The sequence below is a fragment of the Homo sapiens genome, chromosome 6, assembly GCF_000001405.40.
Source record: "Homo sapiens chromosome 6, GRCh38.p14 Primary Assembly".
Classification (NCBI taxonomy): Eukaryota; Metazoa; Chordata; class Mammalia; order Primates; family Hominidae; genus Homo; species Homo sapiens.
In genome coordinates this window covers 111,365,459-111,390,213 of record NC_000006.12, presented here as the reverse complement: position 1 = coordinate 111,390,213, position 24,755 = coordinate 111,365,459, and the positions used below count along the sequence as shown (strand labels likewise).

At 36.3% G+C, this 24,755-nt stretch overlaps 1 protein-coding gene across 16 annotated transcripts in view; it reads left to right on the top strand.

Annotated features, from left to right (window-relative positions):
* REV3L (REV3 like, DNA directed polymerase zeta catalytic subunit) overlaps window positions 1–24,755 on the top strand; it is a 184,679-nt gene that overhangs the window by 93,498 nt on the left and 66,426 nt on the right. For 11 of the 16 annotated variants that reach the window (XM_011536030.4, XM_011536028.3, XM_011536032.3 and 8 more), the window contains 9 exons: window positions 34–128; window positions 1,004–1,108; window positions 2,129–2,213; window positions 2,298–2,449; window positions 8,770–8,889; window positions 9,995–10,232; window positions 12,371–12,513; window positions 13,457–17,618; window positions 22,186–23,099. In XM_011536030.4, coding sequence (XP_011534332.1) covers window positions 34–128; window positions 1,004–1,108; window positions 2,129–2,213; window positions 2,298–2,449; window positions 8,770–8,889; window positions 9,995–10,232; window positions 12,371–12,513; window positions 13,457–17,618; window positions 22,186–23,099 — 6,014 coding nt within the window. The remainder of the gene's footprint in view (window positions 1–33; window positions 129–1,003; window positions 1,109–2,128; window positions 2,214–2,297; window positions 2,450–8,769; window positions 8,890–9,994; window positions 10,233–12,370; window positions 12,514–13,456; window positions 17,619–22,185; window positions 23,100–24,755) is intronic. The other 5 variants (NM_002912.5, NM_001286432.2, NM_001286431.2 and 2 more) reach the window with 1 other exon arrangement.

The following is a 24,755-nucleotide window of genomic DNA, read 5'->3' as shown; positions in this document are numbered from 1 at the left end:
AATTATTATGTTTTTTATATCCTTTAATTGCAGCTCTTTAATATTGGAAGGTGTTGAACCACAGAGTACATGTGAATTAGAAGTGGATGCTGTAGCTGCTGATATCTTAAATCGTCTGGACATTGAAGGTTCATACACAATTATTCTTAATATATGTTTTTATTTTTTAAAATTAATGACCGGCGGGTGTGGTGGCTCACGCCTGTAATCCCAGCACTTTGGGAGGCCAAGGTGGGTGGATCATGAGGTCAGATCGAGACCATCCTGGCCAACATGGTGAAACCCCGTCTCTACTAAAATACAAAATAAATTAGCTGAGTGTGGTGGCACACGTCTGTAGTCCCAGCTACTTGGGAGGCTGAGGCAGGGGAATCACTTGAGCCTGGGTGGCGGAGGTTGCAGTGGGCCAAGATCGCACCACTGCACTCCAGCCTGGTGATAGAGCAAGACTCTATCTCAAAAAAAAAAAAAAAAAAAAAAAAAAAATTAATGACCAAAATGGAATAGAAAAAGTAGGAAAGAAAACTTTACGAGGAAACTAAGATATTATAGAAGGAGGATACAAAATGTTATGAAGATTGCTTCTATACTTCTGATGAGGTATTAATTTTTTGTTTATATTTTTGTCCAAATGACTATATTTGAATAGATGATACTAAAATAAGTGTGACACTAAATAAAATTAGCTAATATAAAGCAATTTAATGTACTGTGCCTTTTAATTTCTTAATTTTCATATTATATATCAGCAAAGGGACTCTTAGGTCTATTGACTATCATCAGATGTTTGAATTGTATTCACTTGCTGGATTTTGGGGAACCACTAGGAAGAAAACTAAAAAAGGAGTAACATAGTAAGTGTAGGTTGGGATAATTTGTCCACTTTATTACACAAAATATGTGATTGGTTTTTTTAAAGGCAGTATTTGTTAAAGAAAAGTTTAGATTTTTTAGGCATTTCTTACTTTGACCCTGTAGTATTGAAGTATTATTGTGATTACAGCTCAAATTGGTGGAAACCCTGGTCTACAGGCCATATGGGAAGATGAAAAGCAACGGCGAAGAAACAGAAATGAAACTTCTCAAATGAGCCAACCTGAGTCACAAGGTATAAACCTAATAGTGCTCTGATTATTCTTTTAAATCAAGTATTTTAATGGAAAAGTTTGTCATTGAGTTGTTCCTTTGACATTAGATTTTACTTTTCAAATGACCTTTATATTTTGTATGTATTTTTCTTGTTGTCATTGCTGTACAGCCACTATTTATCTTTACAGCTGTCTCCAATTGTCGCTTATTATCTCTTTGTAAGAAGTTGACGTTTTTACTGTTCTTTGTTTTTAATGTACCTTGTCCTCTTGCCTCACTTTTTTGTTTTCATTCTCTAGTATGTTCTAGCCCTCTGTATTTCCAAATGAGCTATAGAAAACTCACAGAAGATCATGAATCTCAACTTAGAAACACTGTTTAATACATTAAGCTTTGAAAATGTAGCCATTGAAATGCTGCCCACAGTTTATTTTCTGAGTATGTCATATAAGCTCTCACTTTGTTCAATATGTACAGCTCTAAAGAAACATTTATTGCTAAATGGTGCCACATTCAAAAAGAATTCGAGGGGGTTTAGATAATACCATGGATACAACAGTTTTAAAAATAAAGGTAAAAGAGTGAACGACATCATTCAAAAGGCAGATATATTATTTCAAAATACAGCAGTAAGCCTATATTGAAGTTCAATTAAAATTATTATATCTTAGGCACTAAAAATGTTTTGATAAACTTTGAGTGCCTTTTATACTTTTAAAAATAGAAATATATTTTATGAGGGGAAATTTTTAGCTTTAGGATACAATATATTTATAGGTAGAGAACAATTTTTCTGTTTTAGATTTAGATTATAATTATAGAACTTAATCTTGAACTGACTTAAGTGCCTAATTTTATAACTTTAGTAACAACCGTTTCTCTTTTGTGTGATTCTATGGTAAAACTACAGTTAGGTTGTATTATGTATATCTAGAGAAAGATAGGAAATTGCCACCATTTTTAAAGCTACTTTAGGAGAAGGGAAAATATTTCATTCATTTGCTATTTACATTTTTTAATGCACTTTTAAAATTCAAAGATCACAGGTTTGTGCCAGCAACAGAAAGTGAAAAAAAATTTCAGAAGAGACTTCAGGAAATTCTCAAACAGAATGATTTCTCTGTGTAAGTGGTTATTTATTATAGATCTCAGAACTAATTTTATTCCTTTGTTATGTAGTCTGTTATAAAGGATATGTTTTAATTAAGCAGAACATTATCAGGATCTGTGGACTACAGCGATGGATCCCAGGAGTTCTCTGCTGAGTTAACATTGCACTCTGAGGTTCTGTCTCCTGAAATGCTTCAGTGTACACCAGCCAATATGGTAGAAGTTCACAAAGACAAAGAGTCAAGCAAAGGTAAGATTTTCTTTTCATGTATACAGAAACTACTAGAACAGATATCTAGCACTGAGATGTTAATATTTGATTGAGTTTGCTAGGGATTTTTTTCCCTATGAAATAAATATTGTGGATATAGCAAAAATTTCTCCCATTCTGTCACCCTTTCTACATCTCTAAAGGTAAGCAGTATCCTGAAGTTAGTGCAAACTGTTACCATATATAATTTTATATTTTCTTATAATGTTTGCCCACCATATATACCATTGTTTTAAGTTTTAAATTTTACGTAAATGATGTTCTGCTTGGCGTAGATGAAGCAACTTGCTTTTTTCACTCAGCATTATATTTTTAAGCAGCTTGAAGTTTAATTTATATAACATAAAATTCAGTCATTTTAAGCGTATAATTCAATGATTTACAAAGTTGTGCAAACGTCTCCACAATCCAGTTTTAGAATGTTTCCATCAGTCCACAGGATCCCTTGTGTCCATTTACAGTTATGCCTATTTCCACCTCAAACCCCAAGTAACCACTAATAATACATGGGCCTTGTCTAGATACTGTATATTATGTAAGTGAAACCATACAATATATAGTCTTTTGTGTCTGGCTTCTTTTACTTAGCATAATACTTTCAAGTTTTATACATGTTGTAGTATCTATCAGTATGTATGGAGATACCACATTTTGTTAATCCATTTATCAGTTGATCAGCATTTGAGTTGTTTTCACTTTTGCCTGGTAAGAATAGTGCTGCTGGCCAGGAGCAGTGGCTCCTGCCTGTAATCTCAGCAATTTGAGAGGCTGAAGCAGGCGGATCACCTGAGGTCAGGAGTTGGCAACCAGCCTGGCCAACATGGTGAAACTCTGTCTCTACTAAAAATACAAAAATTAGCCGGGCGTGGTGGCGCACACCTGTAATCCCAGCTACTCAGGAGGCTGAGGCAGGAGAATGGCTTGAACCCAGGAGGTGGAGGTTGCAGTAAGCCAAGATGATGCCACTGCATTCCAGCCTGGGCAACAGAGCAAAACTCCATCTCAAAAAAAAAAAAAAAAAAAAAATAGTGCTGTTATAAGCAGTAAAGCATAAATTTTAGGATAAATATCATAAAGTTGTAAAATGATATCAATAGTAACAAATGAAACAGTTTAAGAATAAACGTCACTAAAAAGATTACCTCTGCCAAGCAAAAGAATTACTAGGGCATGTGGTATATTTGTGTTTAATTTTTAAATAAACTCCCAAGCTGTTTTTAAAGTGACAGCAATGTTTTACTTTCCCACCAGCAATATATGAGAGTTTCTCTGGCTCTATATCCTCACTAACACTTGTTATTATCTGTCTTTTTTTAATGTAGCCATCCTAGTGTGTGAAATAGAATCCTACTGTGGTTTTAATTTTCGTTACCCTCATTACTACTGATGTCGAGCATCTTTATGTCAACATTATAACTTTGAAATTTATCCTTGTTCATTCATTTTAGCTGCTGATGACTGTTCCATTTTAAGACTAAACAACAATGTTAGCTATTTCTCTACAAGTATTAGATGGTCTTTACTTTTGCACTTAGTGCTACATCTGTCTCCTTATGGCTATGTGCAGGAGCTTCTCTACCAAACACATGTAGAAGAGTGAGTTGCTGAATGTTAGGGTGTATGCATTGTACTCTACCTAGATAGCATCTGTTCTAACAGTTTTTCTATAATGCAATTAGCTTATACATGGTTAGTAAACAAGACAATAATAAAAGTTTTACTCAGAAGTCACATTGTATCATACGCAATTTTACTAGGCAAGCAAAGCCTCAACATTTGATAGCATCAAATAATAAGGATAAAATAATAGATGTAAAAAATTTGCTGCTCTGATTCTTTGAAATAGTGTCTCTGCATTTTAATCTGCATTTCCTAATTACTAATGAATTTGAGCATCTTTAAAGGCCATTTGGGTTTCTCTGTTTGTGAATTACATTTTGTGCTTATTTTCTATTGAGTCATTTGTCTTTTTCTTATTTGTAGGAGTTCTTCATATTTTCTAGATATTAAGTCTTTATCAGTTATACTTATTGTAGAGATGTTTTCTCTCCATCTAGGCTTATCTTATAAAAATCTTCAAAAAAAAATGTTAACTTCTTTTCCCCCCATTTAAAAAAAAAAGTTATCCTTGGGGTTTTACATGTCTTCAGTTTTAATGTCAAGTTTACCAATATTCCTTTATGGTTTAGTTTTGGTATGTGATTTATGAGACCTTCCCTACCCTGATGTAATGAAAATTTTCTCTTAAGTATTCATTTTAAGGCTTACGTGTGCTTACAGTTTGGTTTTTCACATTTAGGTCTTTAATGCATTTGAAATTTTACATTTTACTTTTAAATTTTTTTTAATTTTTGTGGGTACATAGTAGACATATATATTTATGGGGTACATGAGAGATTTTTATACAGGCATACAATGTAATAACCACATCAGGATAAATGGGGTATCCATAACCTCAAGCATATATTTCTTTGTGTTACAAACATTCCAATTATACTTTTAGTTATTTTTTAATATACAATAGATTATTGTTGACTGTAGTCACTGTGTTGTGCTATCAAATACTAGATCTTATTCCTTCTATTTTTTTGTACTCATTAACCATCCCCACTTCCCCACCCCACCCTACTACCCTTCCTAGCTTCTGGCAGCCATCATTCTACTCTCTTATCTCCATGAGTTCCATTGTTTAAATTATTAATTAGCCCCCACAAGTGAGTGAGAACATGCAAAGTTTGTCTTTCTGTGCCTGGCGTATTTCACATAACATGATGTCCTCCACTTCTATCCATGTTGTTGGAAATGGCATGATCTCATTCTCTTTATGGCTGAGTAGTACTCCATTATGTAAATGTACCACATTTTCTTTATCCATTCATCTGTTGATGGACACTTAGATTGCTTCCAAATCTTGGCTGTTGTGAATAGGACTGTGATAAACATGGGAGTGCAGATATCTCTTCAACTCGACATACCAATTTCATTTCCTTTGGATAAATACCGAGTAGAGAGATTGCTGGATTATATGGTAGTTCTATCTTTAGTTTATTAAGGAACCTTCATACTGTTCTCCATAGTGGCTGTACTAATTTACATTTCTACCAACAGTGTACGAGAGTTCCCTTTCCTCCACATCATTGCCAGCATTCATTATTGCCTGTCTTTTGGATAAAAGCCATTTTTACTAGGGTGAGATGATTTCTCATTGTAATTTTGATTTTCATTTATCTGATGATCAGTGATGTTGAGCATCTTTTCACCTGTCTGCCATTTGTATATCTTCTTTTGAGAAATGTCTGTTCAGATCTTTTGCCGATTTTTTAATTGGATTATTAGATTTTTTACTATTGAGTTATATATATTTTGGTTATTAATCCCTTGTCAGATGGATAGTTTGCAGATATTTCCTCCCATTCTGTGGGTTGTCTCTTCACTTTGTTGATTGTTTCCTTTGCTGTGCAGAAGCTTTGTATAATAACTTGATATGATCCCATTTGTCTGCTTTTGCTTTGATTGCCTGTGCTTTGGGGATATTTCCCAAAAAATCTTTGCTCAGACCAATATTCTAGAGAGTTTCCCCAATGTTTTCTTTTAGTATTTTCATAGTTTGAGTCTTAGATTTAAGTCTTTAATTCATTTTGATTTAATTTCTGAATATGGTGGAGAGATCAGGGTCTAGTTTCATTCTTCTGCATGTAGATATCCAATGTCTCAGCACCATTTATCGAAGAAATTGTTCTTTCCCCCAAGGTATGTTCTTGGCACCTTCATCAAAAACGAGTTCACTGCAGTCATGAATTTATTTCAGGGTTCTCTATTCCATTGGTCTGTGTGCCTGTTTTTATGCCAGTATCATGCCGTTTTGATTACTATAGCTCTGTAGTATAATTTGAAGTCAGGTAATGTGACCTCCAGTTTTGTTCTTTTTGCTCAGAGTAGCTTTGGTTATTCGGGATCTTTTGTGGTTCCTTATAAATTTTAGGATTTTTTTTTTCTGTTTCTGTGAAGAATATCATTGGTATTTTGATAGGGATTGCATTGAATCTGTAGATTGCTCTGGGTAGGCATGGACATTTTATCAGTATTGATTCTTCCAATCCATGAACGTGGAATATCTTTTCCATTTTTTGGTGTACTCTTCAATTTCTTGCATCAGTGTTTTATAGTTTTCATTGTAGGGATGTTTCACTTACTTGGTTAAGTTTATTCCTAAGTATCTTATTTGTAGCTATTGTAAATGGGATTACTTTCTTGGTTTCTTATTCAGATTGTTCACTGTTGGCATATAGAAATGCTACTGATTTTCATATGTTGATTTTGTATCCTGCAACTTCGCTGAATTTGTTTTTTGGTGGAGTCTATAGGTTTTTCCTAATATAAGATCATACCATCGGCAGATAAGGATAATTCGACTTCTTCCTTTCCAATTTGGATGCACTTTATTTATTCCTTTCTTTTGTCTGATTACTCTAACTAGGACTTCTAGTACTGTGTTGAATAACAGTGGTGAAACTAGGCATCCTTGTCTTGTTCCAGATCTTAGAGAACGGGCTTTCAATTTTTCCCAGTGCTGTGAATGCACTGGGTCACACCTGAAGTCAGCATGTCCCTGGGTCTCACCCGAGGCCTGCAGCAAGTACTGCCTGAGTGTCACTTGTGTTTACTCAAGGCCAAAGGGCTCTTTAGTGAGCAAGTGATGAACCCTGCCAGGTCTGAGTCCTTCTCTTCAAGGCAGCAGGTTCCCTTCTGGCCCAGGGTGTGTTTAGAGATGTCATCCAGGAGTTAGGGCCTGGAATATGTGTGTCACGACTCTACCTCCTCTACTGTGGCTGAGCTGGTATCCAAGTTGCAAGATAAAGTTCTCTTCACTCCTTCCTCTCCTGTCCTCTTGTGGAATGAAAGAGTCTTCTGGAGCTGCGAGTTGTGCTGCCTGGGACTGTGAAGGTTGGGGGAGGGGGGGTGACACAAATAATTCTTTAGCTGCCCCAGCTACTCTCTCACCAGGCGCGTGTACCCCAAGTCTACTGGCTCTGAGCCCAGCACAGCACTGGGACTTGCCCAAGAATTGCAGTCCTTGTGGATAAGACTGGCTTTCAAGTTTATTTAGGATCCCAAAGCACTTTAGCCCATAGTAGTAAGGCTGGCTGCAACTCAGGTTCTGGACTGCTGGGATGGGCAGTTTCCCTCTGGCTGGGGCTGGTCAAATCCTCTCCTCATGGGTGCTGGCTAAATTCTATACCGTGTCGCTCTCCACTGTGACAGGGACGTTGCTTTCCACTGTGACAGGGTAGCACTGAGTTCCAATGCAAAGCAAAGTCCCATATTCACTCTGTTCTGTCTCTCCTAAGCACAGATTTCTCTCTCCGTGCCTCAAGACCACTGCCTGAGAGATGGGAGGTGCTGTCAGCAATTCACGACTGTCTTTTCTACCCTCTTCGCTGCCTCTTTCCTTGATACGTTGTTAAAACCAAGTACTGTGATTGCTCTCCTGATTTTTTATTCTAATGAAGGCGCTTTCTTGTGTGGGTAGTTCAGTTTGGTGTTCCTTCAGGGGACGGCAATTGTTGGAGGATTCCATATGGCCACATGGACTAATATTTTTTGATATCATGAAAATGTAATGAATGTGATATATAATGAAAGCTTTCTGAAAAATATTAATGTAAAATGAATTTTTTAATTGCTTAACCATTTCTTTGTATTTTTATAGCACTTAAAAACTATTTCTGCCCAGTTATGGCAATGAAATGGGAAACCACAACTACAGTTCACAAACAGGCATGAAAAACCAACACACGCCCCATTAGGGATTACACTAAGCTCTTTATTTTTTATGCATTCAAAAGAGAGTCCAATACACATGTGTCAAATAATGAGCACTGTCAATTTTTTTTTTCTAGGAGAGTTCAAAAACATTTATTCTAAATTTGTTGTTTTTGAACCATAGAGAATAAAGAATTTTAGTATTCAAATAAGATAGTTTATCTTTCCTTTTCACTTTATATATTTGAATATGCAGTGATTTTTATCAGAGTAATATAACTACACACATTAAGTAGGATTAAAGAGGTTATAAATATTTGGTGATTTATAGATTCAGTGTTTGTTTTGATAAATCCATGTGACTGGTTAAATATTTCTGTGGCTTTTTATTATGTTTTTATTTGGCATGCATCATTAACATTTTGAAATTTAAAATAGGTTTATATGGTAATGCTTCCAAATTTACACAAATTCTAAATGATAAATTTTGGATTTAGGCCATTGCTTCAATTTTTTTTATTCTTTGTCAAATTAAGGTCACACTAGACACAAAGTGGAAGAAGCTCTTATTAATGAAGAAGCAATTTTGAACCTTATGGAAAATAGTCAGACTTTTCAGCCTTTGACCCAAAGACTGAGTGAGTCACCTGTTTTCAGTAAGTAACAGTGCTACCATAAATATTCAGTATTGTAATTCAGAGAAAATGTGTGTTGTGAAGAGGCATTTTTTTTTTTATTGACTTGAAGAGGTAAATGTTGCATGTTCAGTAAACACTCTACTGAATATGAAAATGAAACCTTGCATTAAATCAAGTAGCTTTGCTTTTTTTCTATACAGCTTAAAAAAATTTGTGAAAGAAAATAGTTTTTTTAACTGTACTTTGATTCACGGAAAACCGTATTACTTAAGAAGGAAAATGCATTTATTTTGAATTAATATTTTGCAAAGTTCAGTACATTACTAAAACACCATAAGTGGTTCTTTCTTGGTGAGTATCACAAATTTCACCGGAGGAAACACGGGTGGCTAGGGCCATGGTCCCAGCCTCCTCATCTCACTGGCCAGGGCTGCACTCAACCAGTCCTTCAGTGGCCTCCCCTTGAGTGGCATCTCAGGCTTCCTGCAGCCACTGCCAGCCTTCCCTGGCAAGGCCTCCCAACTAGGGGCTGACAGTGCTGAGCTGTACCCACGGCCAAGACCCTGTGCAGTCCCAGGCAGCCCTGGCTGGAGCACACAACAATGTTATTTTAATAATGTCCCTAAATTACTCTAATGCAGGTGGTCCAAGGATCAACTTTGATAGGAGAGCTACCTCAACACCTGAGCCTTTGTACCAACTGTATTCTTTCAGCCTGTGCCAGTATCTATGATGTTGTTATTTTATTCTGAGTGATCTGAATTGTTGGATTATTAAGAAAACAGGCCGGGCGTGGTGGCTCACGCCTGTAATCCCAGCACTTTGGGAGGCCGAGGCAGGCAGATCACGAGGTCAGGAGATCGAGACCATCCTGGCTAACACGGTGAAACCCCATCTCTGCTAAAAATACAAAAAATTAACCAGGTGTGGTGACGGGCACCTGTAGTCCCAGCTACTCGGGAGGCTGAGGCAGGAGAATGGCATGAACCCAGGAGGCAGAGCTTGCAGTGAGCCTAGATCACGCCACTGCACTCCAACTCCAGCCTGGGTGAGAGAGCAAGACTCCGTGTCAAAAAAAAAAAAGAAAACTTATTTGTTGGTGATTATTGTACTTGTTTTATAGTGGACAGTAGTCCTGATGAGGCTCTGGTACATCTTCTTGCTGGTTTGGAAAGTGATGGATATCGGGGGGAAAGAAATAGGATGCCATCACCATGTCGCTCCTTTGGAAATAATAAATATCCACAAAATAGTGATGATGAAGAAAATGAACCACAGATTGAAAAAGAGGAAATGGAGCTTAGTTTGGTGATGTCCCAGAGATGGGACAGCAATATTGAAGAACATTGTGCCAAAAAGAGGTAATTTTTTAGTTATTGCAGTTGTTTTATTAACTTTTATCATTATTGTCCTTCAATCAGAAATTATTTATTACTATTGTTCATGATATAAAATACCTTATGAACTAAATTGATGTTTTAAAATTCCCCTTTAGTGATCTGTTTTTCATATGGCGTATACTCCATATTCCAAGCAAAATAAAGTTTTGCTACATTTTAAAAGATTAACCTAACTTTTAGAAGTTATCCATTTATATACACAGTATTAACATATGTGAGTGATAAATGGAGCAAAATTGAAGTGCCTTCTTATCTTAGAACTTAAGAAAAAGAATGCCCTGTGATAGTTGAACTGTTGGGTATCAGAACAACAATGTATAGAGTCAGCCTGAAGACAGGGTATGGTTTTGGGCTCTGATTAGACTAAGGGAACTAAGGTTAAAAACAAATAAATAAAAGACTAAGAAGCAAACACTGGTGTTGTGGTTTGTTTCTCAAAATAAATGAATAAGTTGGTGTTGTGGTTTTCTAAATCAGTCTCTGTGAACTTGATTGGTTTGAGTCTGCCCTTTAGTTATATGCTCTGTGTATAGAAAAATCTAGGCCTATGAGCCTGAAAGACTGAGTATGCCTCTCCTTTAAACTTCTATAGGCTAGATTAGAACTTTTTTAGTCTGTATTTGAAATTTCCAACCCAAAGCCATCACTGAAAGGTGAAACAGGTTAATCCATAAATTCAGTGTTTACATGTATATGATGAAAGTTTTTATTTTTCTACTTAATAAATCAGATATAGAAATCTCCAGATGTGATGTTAAATTCTTTCCTCTAACATTGTCACTGCTGTAATAATAGGCATAGTCAATCCTATGATTAAATTTATGTTTGTATGTTCAGTGGCTGAACCAATTTGGTGAAAACCATGCCCAATTTAACCTTGGGAAAACAAACCTAAACATTTTGTACACATATATTAGAGAGAGATTGAATAGTAGAAGCATGGTGTCTAGAAAAGGGTTTAGTTAATTCTGCTCTTTATATTGGATATTATATTCTGTGCTGAGTACCATATTTTAAGAATACTGAAAAAGGAAAGGGAAAGAAGAGGAAGAAAACTAGAAGGATCTGTGAGCATTGTCACTTTTGAAGAACTTTTGAATGGAGAATGTTTGATCTAATTAGAATTACAAGATGAATGAGAAATGCCTTTATGTATTTTAAAGATTATCATGTGGAAAATGACATCAACCTGCTCTGTATAGCTACAGAGAACAAAATAGGAATCATGTATGGAAGTTGAAAGAGTTTGTGTATTACAAGAAGACAACTATGAATAATTAAAGCCATTAACAGTGGAAAGATTGCCCTGTGAGACAGCAAGCCCCTTATACAGATTATGTAAAAACAGAGATTGTGTCAGGTTCGTTAAAAATGAGGTTTTCGCATTGGGTAGAAAGTTGGACTGGACCTCTGATACCTCTTTCAGCTCTTAAGGGAGTGATTTTTATGATAAATTGTGATTTGGAAAGGCTTAATGGAAAAACAGTTCCAGTATAATAAGTATAATAAAATAATAATAATTTCAAATTGTTGAGATTAGTGAAAGAAAAAATTGGGTATGGATAGGAAAAAAGTTTGCCCATTCAATTAAAAGGGAAAACATCAAGTTAATACCAATATGAGATGAAACTTAAAGACTGGACTTCACTGTCCATCTGAATTTCTCAGTAACCCTTTGTAGTTATTGTCAGGTTGACTGAACACCTTTACTACTTCCTATTACCCTCTCTCTTCTTCAGCATTTTCTCTTCAGCCCTGACCTCAATGCCCCTTCACTCATCTTTTTATTCTTGTTTCTTCCAATTCAGAATGCAGGAATTGTGGTGTATTTTAGCTCACATGAAAGGGATTATGAAGTCTAATTATAATAACTCTTTGTAAGTTACTATAGTAAGACATGTTAATAAAGCAAAGTAAATATGCTTTTCTAGAAGTTACAATTTTCAGATTTTTTGTATTGTTTTACTATAGAGTAACTTAGATACATTATTATAGTTAACTTAGATACATTATTATAGAGTTAACTTAGATGCATTATTTGCATCTGAGATGGTCTTTACTAATGATCATGCTCACCAGTGAATTTTAATGTTCTCCAGATCACTGTGCAGAAATACCCACAGAAGTTCAACTGAAGATGATGACTCATCTTCAGGAGAAGAAATGGAATGGAGTGATAACAGTTTGCTTCTAGCCAGTCTTTCTATACCTCAGTTAGATGGAACTGCAGATGAAAATAGTGGTAAGTAAACAAGTCTACTGTGAGAAATTGGTTATTCACGATCTAAAAATGTATTTGATTTTGAGGCTAGGCGCTCTGGCTCACACCTGTAATCCCAGCATTCTGGGAGTCCAAGGTGAGAGGATCACTTGAATTCAGGAGTTCGAGACCAGCCTAGGCAACGTAGTGGGACCCCCGTCTCTAAAAAACTAAAAAAATTAGCCCAGCATAGTGATACATGCCTGTAGTCCCAGCTACTCAGGAGGCTGAGGTGGGAGGCTTACTTGAGCCCAAGGGTTTGAGGCTGCAGTGAGCTGTGATTGCTCCATGGCATTCCAGCCTAGGCAACAGAACAAGATTCTGCCTCCAAAAAAAATAATAAATAAATAAATATGATTTTGAAACTTTAATCATACTTTCTATTGATTTTGAAACTGTAATCATACTTTCTATATAGTTGGCTAAGGGAGGCTATAGTGATGTTTCGTCCTTCAGGATTTTTTTCTTTTGAAAGAATTAGATACATGATTTGCTTCTCATTTCTAAAAGGATATAACATTTGTTGACCACTGAATTCAAGCTTTGAAAACTTTAATGTTTGTTGTGCAAGTAGAATAATAAACTGAAAAATATGCTCAGTTTATTTGAAGTGATAATGTAAAGCATATTATTTTATGAACATTTTTAAAGTGACAGTATTTTTCCCTTATGCCCCAAAGGAACTAAATAGTAATATAATCTATTTCTGATCAATGGAATATTTGTTTAAAATGATGACTAATAATTGTAACTAACTATATTTAGATTGAGTCATTAATGATAAGCATTACCTTTTTGTTAAGATAACCAAACTTAATTTGATGTAATTTTTTCATAGTGATAGCATTAATATCTTGGTGTGGGAAAATGTCTTAAAAATTAAAAGAGTAAAATGAAATAAACTGTTTTTCCCTCCTCATTTCAGACAATCCATTGAACAATGAAAATTCTAGAACCCACTCTTCTGTAATTGCAACAAGCAAGCTTTCAGTTAAACCCTCCATCTTTCACAAAGATGCTGCTACATTAGAACCCTCATCTTCTGCTAAGATTACCTTTCAGTGTAAACACACAAGTGCCCTTTCTTCCCATGTTTTGAACAAGGAAGATTTAATTGAAGACCTTTCACAGACAAACAAAAATACAGAAAAAGGTCTAGATAACTCAGTCACTTCTTTTACAAACGAAAGCACTTATTCTATGAAATACCCTGGATCTTTAAGCAGTACTGTTCATTCAGAAAATTCTCATAAAGAGAATAGTAAGAAAGAGATCCTCCCAGTATCTTCCTGTGAAAGTAGTATTTTTGATTATGAAGAAGATATTCCATCTGTTACAAGACAAGTACCAAGTAGAAAATATACAAACATTAGAAAAATCGAAAAGGATTCCCCTTTTATACATATGCACCGTCACCCTAACGAGAATACATTGGGCAAAAATTCTTTCAACTTTTCTGACTTAAATCATTCAAAAAATAAAGTATCCTCTGAAGGAAATGAAAAAGGAAACAGCACAGCTCTGAGTAGTTTATTCCCTTCATCATTTACTGAAAATTGTGAATTACTGTCATGCTCAGGGGAGAATAGAACTATGGTGCATTCTCTTAATAGCACTGCTGATGAAAGTGGACTAAATAAACTTAAAATTAGGTATGAAGAATTTCAAGAACATAAAACAGAAAAGCCAAGCCTCAGCCAGCAAGCAGCACACTATATGTTTTTTCCCAGTGTTGTTCTTTCTAACTGTCTTACTAGACCACAGAAACTATCTCCTGTCACATATAAATTACAACCTGGCAATAAACCATCCCGGTTAAAATTGAATAAAAGGAAACTTGCAGGTCATCAGGAGACTTCTACCAAAAGTAGTGAGACTGGATCCACAAAAGATAATTTTATACAAAATAATCCTTGTAATAGTAATCCTGAGAAGGATAATGCATTGGCTAGTGATTTAACTAAAACCACTCGTGGAGCTTTTGAAAATAAAACACCCACAGATGGTTTTATAGACTGTCACTTTGGAGATGGAACGTTAGAAACTGAGCAGTCCTTTGGACTATATGGAAATAAATACACACTTAGAGCCAAACGCAAGGTAAATTATGAGACTGAAGACAGTGAGTCAAGTTTTGTAACTCACAACTCAAAAATTAGTCTACCTCATCCCATGGAAATTGGTGAAAGTTTAGATGGAACTCTCAAATCCCGAAAACGAAGAAAAATGTCTAAAAAGCTGCCCCCTGTCATCATAAAGTATATTATTATTAATAGATTTAGAGGGAGAAAAAATATGCTTGTGAAGCTAGGAAAAATAGACTCTAAAGAAAAACAAGTAATATTAACAGAAGAAAAAATGGAACTATATAAAAAGCTTGCACCTTTGAAGGACTTTTGGCCAAAAGTTCCCGACTCCCCTGCAACCAAATATCCCATTTATCCACTAACACCAAAGAAAAGTCACAGAAGAAAGTCAAAACATAAATCTGCTAAGAAAAAAACTGGTAAACAACAAAGGACAAATAATGAAAATATTAAAAGAACTTTGTCTTTCAGGAAAAAACGGTCACATGCTATTCTTTCTCCTCCCTCACCATCTTACAATGCTGAAACCGAAGATTGTGACCTGAATTATAGTGATGTTATGTCTAAACTAGGTTTTCTTTCTGAGAGAAGCACAAGTCCCATAAATTCTTCTCCACCTCGCTGCTGGTCTCCCACAGATCCAAGAGCTGAAGAAATCATGGCTGCTGCAGAAAAAGAGGCAATGCTTTTTAAGGGTCCTAATGTATATAAGAAGACTGTTAATTCTCGTATAGGAAAAACTAGTCGCGCAAGAGCACAGATTAAGAAATCAAAAGCAAAGCTTGCTAATCCCTCTATAGTTACTAAGAAAAGGAACAAACGAAATCAGACAAATAAACTAGTAGATGATGGAAAAAAGAAACCAAGAGCAAAACAAAAAACAAATGAGAAAGGTACATCGAGAAAGCATACAACACTTAAGGATGAAAAAATAAAATCTCAGTCTGGTGCTGAGGTTAAGTTTGTACTGAAACACCAGAATGTGTCTGAATTTGCAAGTAGTTCTGGAGGCTCTCAACTACTTTTTAAACAGAAAGATATGCCACTAATGGGCTCTGCTGTAGATCATCCCCTTTCTGCTTCCCTACCCACTGGAATTAATGCACAACAGAAGTTATCTGGCTGCTTTTCTTCTTTCTTAGAAAGCAAGAAGTCTGTAGATTTGCAGACATTCCCCAGTTCACGAGATGATTTGCATCCATCAGTTGTTTGTAATTCTATAGGACCTGGAGTCTCAAAAATTAATGTTCAAAGGCCTCATAATCAAAGTGCTATGTTTACTCTAAAGGAATCAACGTTAATTCAAAAAAATATATTTGACCTTTCCAATCATTTATCTCAGGTAGCACAGAATACACAGATATCTTCTGGTATGTCCTCAAAGATAGAAGATAATGCAAATAATATACAAAGAAACTATTTGTCATCAATCGGAAAGTTAAGTGAATATCGCAATTCCCTAGAATCAAAGCTGGACCAAGCATATACCCCTAATTTTTTGCATTGCAAAGACAGTCAGCAGCAGATTGTGTGCATAGCGGAACAGTCAAAGCACAGTGAAACTTGTTCTCCGGGAAATACAGCTTCAGAGGAAAGCCAAATGCCTAATAATTGCTTTGTAACTTCCTTGAGAAGTCCAATCAAACAAATAGCATGGGAGCAAAAGCAAAGGGGCTTTATTTTAGATATGTCAAATTTTAAACCTGAAAGAGTAAAACCGAGGTCGTTATCAGAAGCAATTTCACAAACCAAAGCACTTTCTCAGTGTAAAAATCGAAATGTGTCAACACCTTCAGCATTTGGTGAAGGACAGTCTGGACTGGCAGTTCTAAAAGAATTGTTACAAAAAAGACAGCAGAAAGCACAAAATGCAAATACTACACAAGACCCATTATCCAATAAACATCAACCAAATAAAAATATTTCTGGTTCCCTTGAGCATAACAAAGCAAATAAACGGACACGATCGGTAACGTCCCCAAGAAAACCTCGAACTCCCAGAAGTACAAAACAAAAAGAAAAAATCCCCAAACTTCTCAAAGTAGACTCTTTAAATTTACAAAACTCTAGCCAGTTGGATAACTCTGTATCAGATGATAGTCCCATCTTTTTTTCAGATCCAGGCTTTGAAAGTTGTTACTCACTTGAAGATAGTTTATCTCCTGAACATAATTATAATTTTGATATTAACACAATAGGTCAGACTGGATTTTGTAGCTTTTATTCTGGAAGTCAGTTTGTCCCAGCTGATCAGAATTTGCCTCAGAAGTTCCTAAGTGATGCTGTTCAGGATCTTTTTCCAGGACAAGCTATAGAAAAAAATGAGTTTTTAAGTCATGACAACCAGAAATGTGATGAAGACAAGCATCATACCACAGACTCAGCCTCATGGATTAGATCTGGTACTTTAAGTCCTGAAATTTTTGAGAAGTCAACCATAGATAGCAATGAGAATCGTCGCCACAACCAGTGGAAAAATAGCTTTCATCCTCTAACAACTCGGTCTAACTCAATAATGGATTCTTTCTGTGTTCAGCAGGCAGAAGACTGTCTAAGTGAAAAATCTAGATTGAATAGGAGTTCAGTAAGCAAAGAAGTGTTTCTTAGCCTCCCACAGCCAAACAATTCAGACTGGATTCAAGGTCACACCAGAAAAGAAATGGGACAGTCTCTTGACTCAGCCAATACCTCTTTTACTGCAATACTCTCCTCCCCTGATGGTGAACTTGTAGACGTGGCCTGTGAAGATTTAGAACTGTATGTTTCAAGAAACAATGATATGTTGACACCAACTCCTGATAGTTCACCAAGATCTACTAGCTCTCCTTCACAATCTAAAAATGGCAGCTTCACCCCTCGAACTGCTAACATTCTGAAACCACTTATGTCCCCCCCAAGTAGGGAAGAAATTATGGCAACTTTGTTGGATCATGACCTGTCTGAGACTATTTACCAGGAACCATTTTGCAGTAATCCTTCTGATGTACCAGAAAAGCCCAGGTAATCAGTTATTTTTTCCCTTGGGTCACTCTGAATTATTATGATATATAAAATTATGCTATGGGGATTGAAAAAAAAAGAATGTATGCAACATTTGGTTACCTGACTGCTAGTTTTCTGTGATACCGTATTTGTAAGTATATCATTGTGGAAAGTATTTCTAATTACAGACTTACTAAGAAAATTCAAAAACTAACTGGATGGTTACACCTAGAGAAATTTATTTAAGTTGACTTGGATCTACCATTATTTAACACTATGTCTTCATTAAAGATTAGAGGTGCTCACTGTAAAGATGTCATGATACTTTAAAAGGATTACAATGATCATTGTTTAAATGGTATTTAATTTTTAAATGTTAAACTTTTATACCATTTTAAAAGAACTTCATTTTCAAGTGTTTTGAAAATGAGCATGTATGTGTTTTAAGTATTCCTCTGATATATCTCTAAGTGAAGATTATTGTAAGTTGTTTCTATTATAAACCACTTTTCATGTGGTTTCAATATCTTGTATTATATTGTTATTGTTATTATAGTTTATGCAGTTATTAGCAAATGGACTTTGGTTTCCATTCTCCTTTCTTTTAAGAATTTTTTCAGGTGGCTGGGTATGGTGGTGTGCACCTGTAATCCCAGCACTTTGGGAGGCCGAGGTGGGAGGATCGCTTGAGCCCAGGAGTTTGCGACCAGCCCAGGCAAAATAGTGAGACTCTCTCTCTACAAAAAATTAGGCCGGGCACAGTGGCTCACGCCTGTAATCCCAGCACTTTGGGAGGCCGAGGGGGGCAGATCACCTGAGGTCAGGAGTTCAAGACCAGCCTGGCCAACATGGTGAAACCCTGTCTCTACTAAAAATACAAAAATTAGCTGGACATGGTGGCAGGTGCCTGTAATCCCAGCTGCCTAGGAGGCTGAGACAGGAGAATCACTTGAACCCAGGAGGTGGAGGTTGTAGTGAGCTGAGATCACGCCACTGCACTTTGTTGCCTGGGCAATAAAGAGTGAAACTCCATCTCAGAAAAAAAAAAAAAAAAAGATAGCTGGGCATGGTGGCATGCACCTGTGGTCCCAGCTACTCAGGAGGCTAAGGAAGGAGAATCACTTGAGCCCAGGATGTCAAGGCTGCAGTGAGCTGTGTTCACGCCGCTGCATTCCAGCTTGGGCAATAGAATGAGACTTTATCTCAAAAAAAAAATCTCTTCAGGGAATTGATAGACAAACATGTGAGCGCACGCACACACACAGCAAATAGCAAAATAGAAATCAGAGTACTGGTTTATTTATCAGTAGTTAAGTAGTTATGGTGTATACCACTTTCATCACCAAGTTAGGACATAACTGATGAAAGCTAAATTGGGTAATGTGGCTTAATCCAGAAAGTTTAAATGATGGCTCTTGTTCCTGCCCTTGTGTCCATGATCTCATATACTTAACCAGTTGCAGAGCAGGCAGTTCATTTCAGCCATCCATTCAGAAGCAGAAGAGGATGGCTGGAACTGCTAAGGCAGGCCCTGCCTTAGTCTAAATCTTGGAAAGAGATAGGAAAAGCAGCAGAGGACACACTGCATGTATGCACTGACCTGTGGCAGTACCATGTTCCTGACTCCAGTGGGAAAAAAAAAAAAGAAAGATACAATATGAATATTACACATTTGTTCAAAGCCATAGAAAGTACCACACCAAGAACAAACCCAAATGTAATCTGTGGACTTTGGACAATTATGATGTGTCAACATAGGTTCATCGATTGTAACACATGTACCACTCTGGTAGGGGATGGTGATAATGAGGGAGGCCATGTATGTGTGGGGGCACAAGGGATATATGGGAAACTTCTGTACCTTCCTTTCAATTTTGCTGTCAACCTAAAGCTGTTAAAATATCTTTTTAAAAAAGTTTAAATTAAAAAAACACGACAGTGAATGCCAGGCTTTTACCCAGCAGATTCACAATAATTCCTATAGGAATCCATTTAAGAAAGGGTTGAGAATGTGAAATGATGGATATGTTAATTTGTTTCACTGTAAGAACCATTTTACTATATACTAATATCATATTTTATACCTTAAATATACACAATAAAATTTATTTTTTTAATAAAGGGGTGAGAAAAGGTTATCAGAAATGCAGAATAAAAGTTCTCTCCTGTAATGACTTGAAGTGAAAGGTAGAAATGTCCACCTCCCAGCCCCTTTTCAACACACAGTTTTGTTTAGTACCCACATGGAACTCTTTATTTCACTGCTGGAGCATATGAAATCTGTTCTTTAGACGTTAGTTTCCATCATTTTGGGGACTTTGGTGTTATTAGTAGTGATTATGGTATATTTACTTTTAGTTACCAAACTTTATGTGCTAGTCATTACCTTTGTGTTGTTGTTATTGTCCAACTTTGACACTTGTCCTGCAGCTAAAATAAAAAATAATCATTTTTGAAAAATATTTTTGAAATATGAAACTGTAGGCCGGGCACGGTGGCTCACGCCTGTAATCCCAGCACTTTGGGAGGCCAAGGTGGGCAGATCACAAGGTCAGGAGATCGAGACCATCCTGGCCAACATGGTGAAACCCCATCTCTACTAAAAATACAAAAATTAGCTGGGCATGGTGGCATGAGTCTGTAATCCTACTCGGGAGGCTGAGGCAGGAGAATCACTTGAACCAGGGAGTCAGAGGTTGCAGTGAGCTGAGATCGCACCACTGCACTCCAGCCTGGTGACACAGCAAGACTGTCTCAAAAAAAAAAAATGAAACTGTATATTCAATATAGAAAATTTAGGAAGTATGAAAGAAGAAAAAATAAAAATTACATCATTTTTCCATGTAGTAACAGCCACCATAATATTTTGATGTGTATTCTGTTTTCTTTTTTAAAAAGTATAGTTTTTAGTTTGTTTTGTTTTGTGAAGTGTGATCTTACTATAGTCACAGTATTATATCCAAATTTTTCACTTAACATTATATTGTAAACATTTTCCAAATGAGTTTCTTGAATATTTTAATCGCTGCATATGTTGCATCATGTATATATTATTGGACAGAAAGGTTGTTTGCAATTTTGCCACTATAGATATTATGTATATTATTATGTATGTTAAGAAGATATTAGCATTTTCTTCTTAAAGCATTTCTTGTATTTTGGAGTTTTTCCTTATAGCCCTAGAAGTAGGATTACTGAAAAATTTAAGGCTCTTGATACATATTAGGAGATTTTTTTTCCCAGTGGGTTATAGCAATTACCATGCTGCTGACAATATGTAAGAAAACTGAATTCACCACACCTCACCATTTTTTTTTTTTTTTTTTTTTTTTGAGACAGAGTCTGGCTCTGTCACCCAGGTTGGAGTGCAGTGGCGTGATTTCGGCTCACTGCAAGGTCCGCCTCCCTGGTTCACGCCATTCTCCTGCCTCAGCCTCCCGACACCTCACCATTTTTTATTCTTGACCTCATTATGACTTCTCTATCCTTAGTATTAGAGTTGGGTATGGTCACTTGGTATGTGTATTCATTTCCTTCAACAGCATTAATTCTGTTTCTGTTTTTTCACATTGCCAAGAGTGGATGCAGGGACAGTGCTGGATGCTGGTTATGGAGTTAACTAGTAGGGGCTTAAGTCTTTTCATATAAAGGAGACAGAGTAGCCCTAATGCTCTTCTTTCAGCTTCAAATCTGAAAACATGATCCAGTTAGTGGATTTTACATAGAGAGTGATGGGGACATTTGGGGAATCATGCCCTAAGAGAAGTGATTGAAAAAACTATGAATTAACTTTATATCCATAATAAAGTTAACATGAAGAAGTAGAATTATTTTATGTTGCTGTAGTAAGCAGAAATAGTATCAAGGGATTGGAGAAAGACAGAGGTTTCACTTAATATTTATAACTATTGGAAATGAAACCAGACTGTTTTCATTAGTGATTTCCCACATATTCATGCATTGGTAACATTTAAGCCATGCATCCTGTGGGCTCTGCCAGCTCCTAAGTTATGTCAGTGTTAATCCCTGCCATGGAATGGGAAGAAAGAATTAGAGTAATTTACCTCAGTTGGTATTTTTTTTAATGTTTAAGGGAATTTGAGAGTACGAAGATTCATTTGAATTGACTGGCTTTGTTAAACTACAGATACTGGAGAATATAGGAAGAAGCTATGAATAATATCCAGGGACATAGTATTTGAATGATAAATTCATTGTTTTTATTCATATGTGGTAATAATGGAAAATTTATTTTAAGATTAGGAGAGGAAAGGAATCTGAAAAGTTTGTGTCATCTCCTTGAAGGACAGAAGGCTTCATGGGGCATTAAAATAAAACAAAAAATACCTTCTCTCCCTAAGATTAATGGTACCTTCCAAAGGAAATTAAGTAGTAGTCATATACCTGTGAGGAAAAGCATATTGAGACTAAAGATAGAATGTACCTGCACAATATAGAGGGGGCAGGGAAGATAGACATGGACATTTTTGAGACTCCAAAAGGGACTTTATCTAGGATATGGAGTTAAATATTTTGGTAATTGCTCTTTGAAACAAAACAGTTGTTCTAAAATATGTTATTATAGGGAGATTGGTGGACGGCTCCTCATGGTAGAAACTCGACTTGCAAATGATCTGGCTGAGTTTGAGGGAGACTTTTCCTTGGAAGGACTTCGTCTTTGGAAAACAGCATTCTCAGCAATGACTCAGAATCCAAGGCCAGGGTCACCCCTTCGCAGTGGCCAAGGAGTTGTCAATAAAGGGTCAAGTAATAGCCCTAAGATGGTTGAAGATAAAAAAATTGTGATTATGCCTTGCAAATGTGCCCCAAGTCGACAACTGGTTCAAGTGTGGCTTCAAGCCAAAGAAGAATACGAACGTTCCAAGAAACTGCCTAAAACCAAGCCAACTGGAGTTGTAAAATCTGCTGAGAACTTTAGCTCTTCAGTTAACCCAGATGACAAACCTGTAGTGCCTCCAAAAATGGATGTAAGTCCATGTATACTCCCCACTACAGCACATACCAAGGAGGATGTTGATAATTCTCAGATTGCTTTACAAGCACCAACCACGGGATGTAGTCAAACTGCAAGTGAAAGTCAGATGCTGCCACCAGTTGCCTCTGCAAGTGATCCCGAAAAAGATGAAGATGATGATGATAACTATTACATTAGTTATAGCTCCCCTGATTCTCCAGTAATTCCCCCTTGGCAACAACCAATATCCCCAGATTCCAAAGCATTAAATGGAGATGATAGACCCTCATCACCAGTAGAGGAGCTGCCTTCATTGGCTTTTGAGAACTTCTTAAAGCCAATAAAAGATGGTATACAAAAAAGCCCCTGCAGTGAGCCTCAAGAGCCTCTAGTGATATCTCCAATTAATACTAGGGCAAGAACTGGGAAATGTGAATCACTTTGCTTTCATAGTACACCAATCATACAGAGAAAACTTCTGGAAAGGCTTCCTGAAGCACCTGGCCTTAGCCCATTATCAACAGGTAAGTGTACAAATAACAGGAAGTCTCCATAATTGTTCTTCAGAAATAGAAATGAAGATAACATTAGACTGTAATGAAAATCAGAGCTTTTTAAATGAAGGTATAGCTCAGCAAATATTTTTCGTCATGTCTTAGAAAGTCGTCACATGGCAACTGTCTTTCTGCTGTGAAATCTACTTATATTTGCTTCCATCCTGTCTTGTGGGTGAAATGCAGGAGCCCTCTCAAAAGGCTTATCTTCTCAACTTGACTTTCCTGTTGGCTTTTATACATACCCAGGTCTCCCACATTTTAAAACAGAAACAAAAAACCTGCCTTGACCTCACGTCTCCAGCCAGCTTCTACTCTTTCTCCTCCCCTTCAAAGCCAAATTTCTTAAAAGATTTATCTAATTTGACAACTCCAGTTATTTACCTCCTACTCATTTCTCAGCCCACTCTAAACTGAATTCTGCCCCTGTCATTCTACATTATAGCTCTTGTAAAGATTCCCAGTAAACTTATAGCTAAAACCAATAGATGTTCCTGAGTCTTATCATATGTCCTCTAAGCAGCCATTTTCTTGTTGACCTTACCTTCCTTCTTGGAGCTTCTCCACTTGGCTTTCCTCCTACTTCTCTGTTTTTTTCCCACTTGATTTTCTCATTATTCTCAGTTGTTATCTAAATGTTGGAGTTTATTAAGGCTTGGTCTTAAGCCTTCTTTATATCTTTCTCTAAATGATCTAATTCCTGTCTACAGGATTACTACAGATAACTCGCAAATTTATATTCCCAGTTCAGATCTCTCTTTTAAGCTCCAGAACACTATATCCAACTACCTATCTGACATTTCCACTTGAATGCTAAATGGCACCTCAAGATTAGTATTTTAAAAACCAATTCATGATCTCACCGCATACATTCACCACCACTTCCCCAACACACTTATATATACATGCCTCCACATAAAAACCCATCTGGCCTTCTTTCAGTTTTCCTTATTTCAATGAATAGTGCCATCATTTCTTAGTTACACAAGTCAGAAACATAGAATTTATTTTTAACACTCACCTCATTCCCTCATTACCCACCTTGTAGTTTCTAGTCCCTAACCAAGCCTTATCACTTGTTTATCTCCCAAGTAACCCAGATCTATCTACTTTATTGTACTTCTTCCACCACAACCTTAGGCCAAACTGTCATCATCTCTTGCCTGGGCTCCTGCACCAGCCATTTTATCTACTCTTAGTAACTTCCAATTCTTTTGCACAGTAATCAGGGAAAAATCCCCACTCTGTTCTTAGTTAGTTACTACTCTCTTCAGATTTTACCTCCAGGAAACCTTCCCTAATCTCCTTGACTACATAAAAATTCCCAATTATATTCCCCTTTGTTGTATTAGTGCAGTTATAATTTTATTTTTCTAGTATGTTTGATGAATGTCTGATTCTCTCTCTAGACCCCACAAGGGCAGAGATTATGTCTTTTCTTCCTCATCATAGATACTTGATAAATAAGTGAATAAATGAATTAAACAGTTCTCTAGGTTAATGACTGAGGTATAAAATTCAGTAATTAAAACATAAACATTTAAAATACAAAATGTCAAAATGTTATTTTGGTTGGGATCAGAGGTTTGAATTTCATTTTTAAATTATGAAATTCTGGGGGGAATT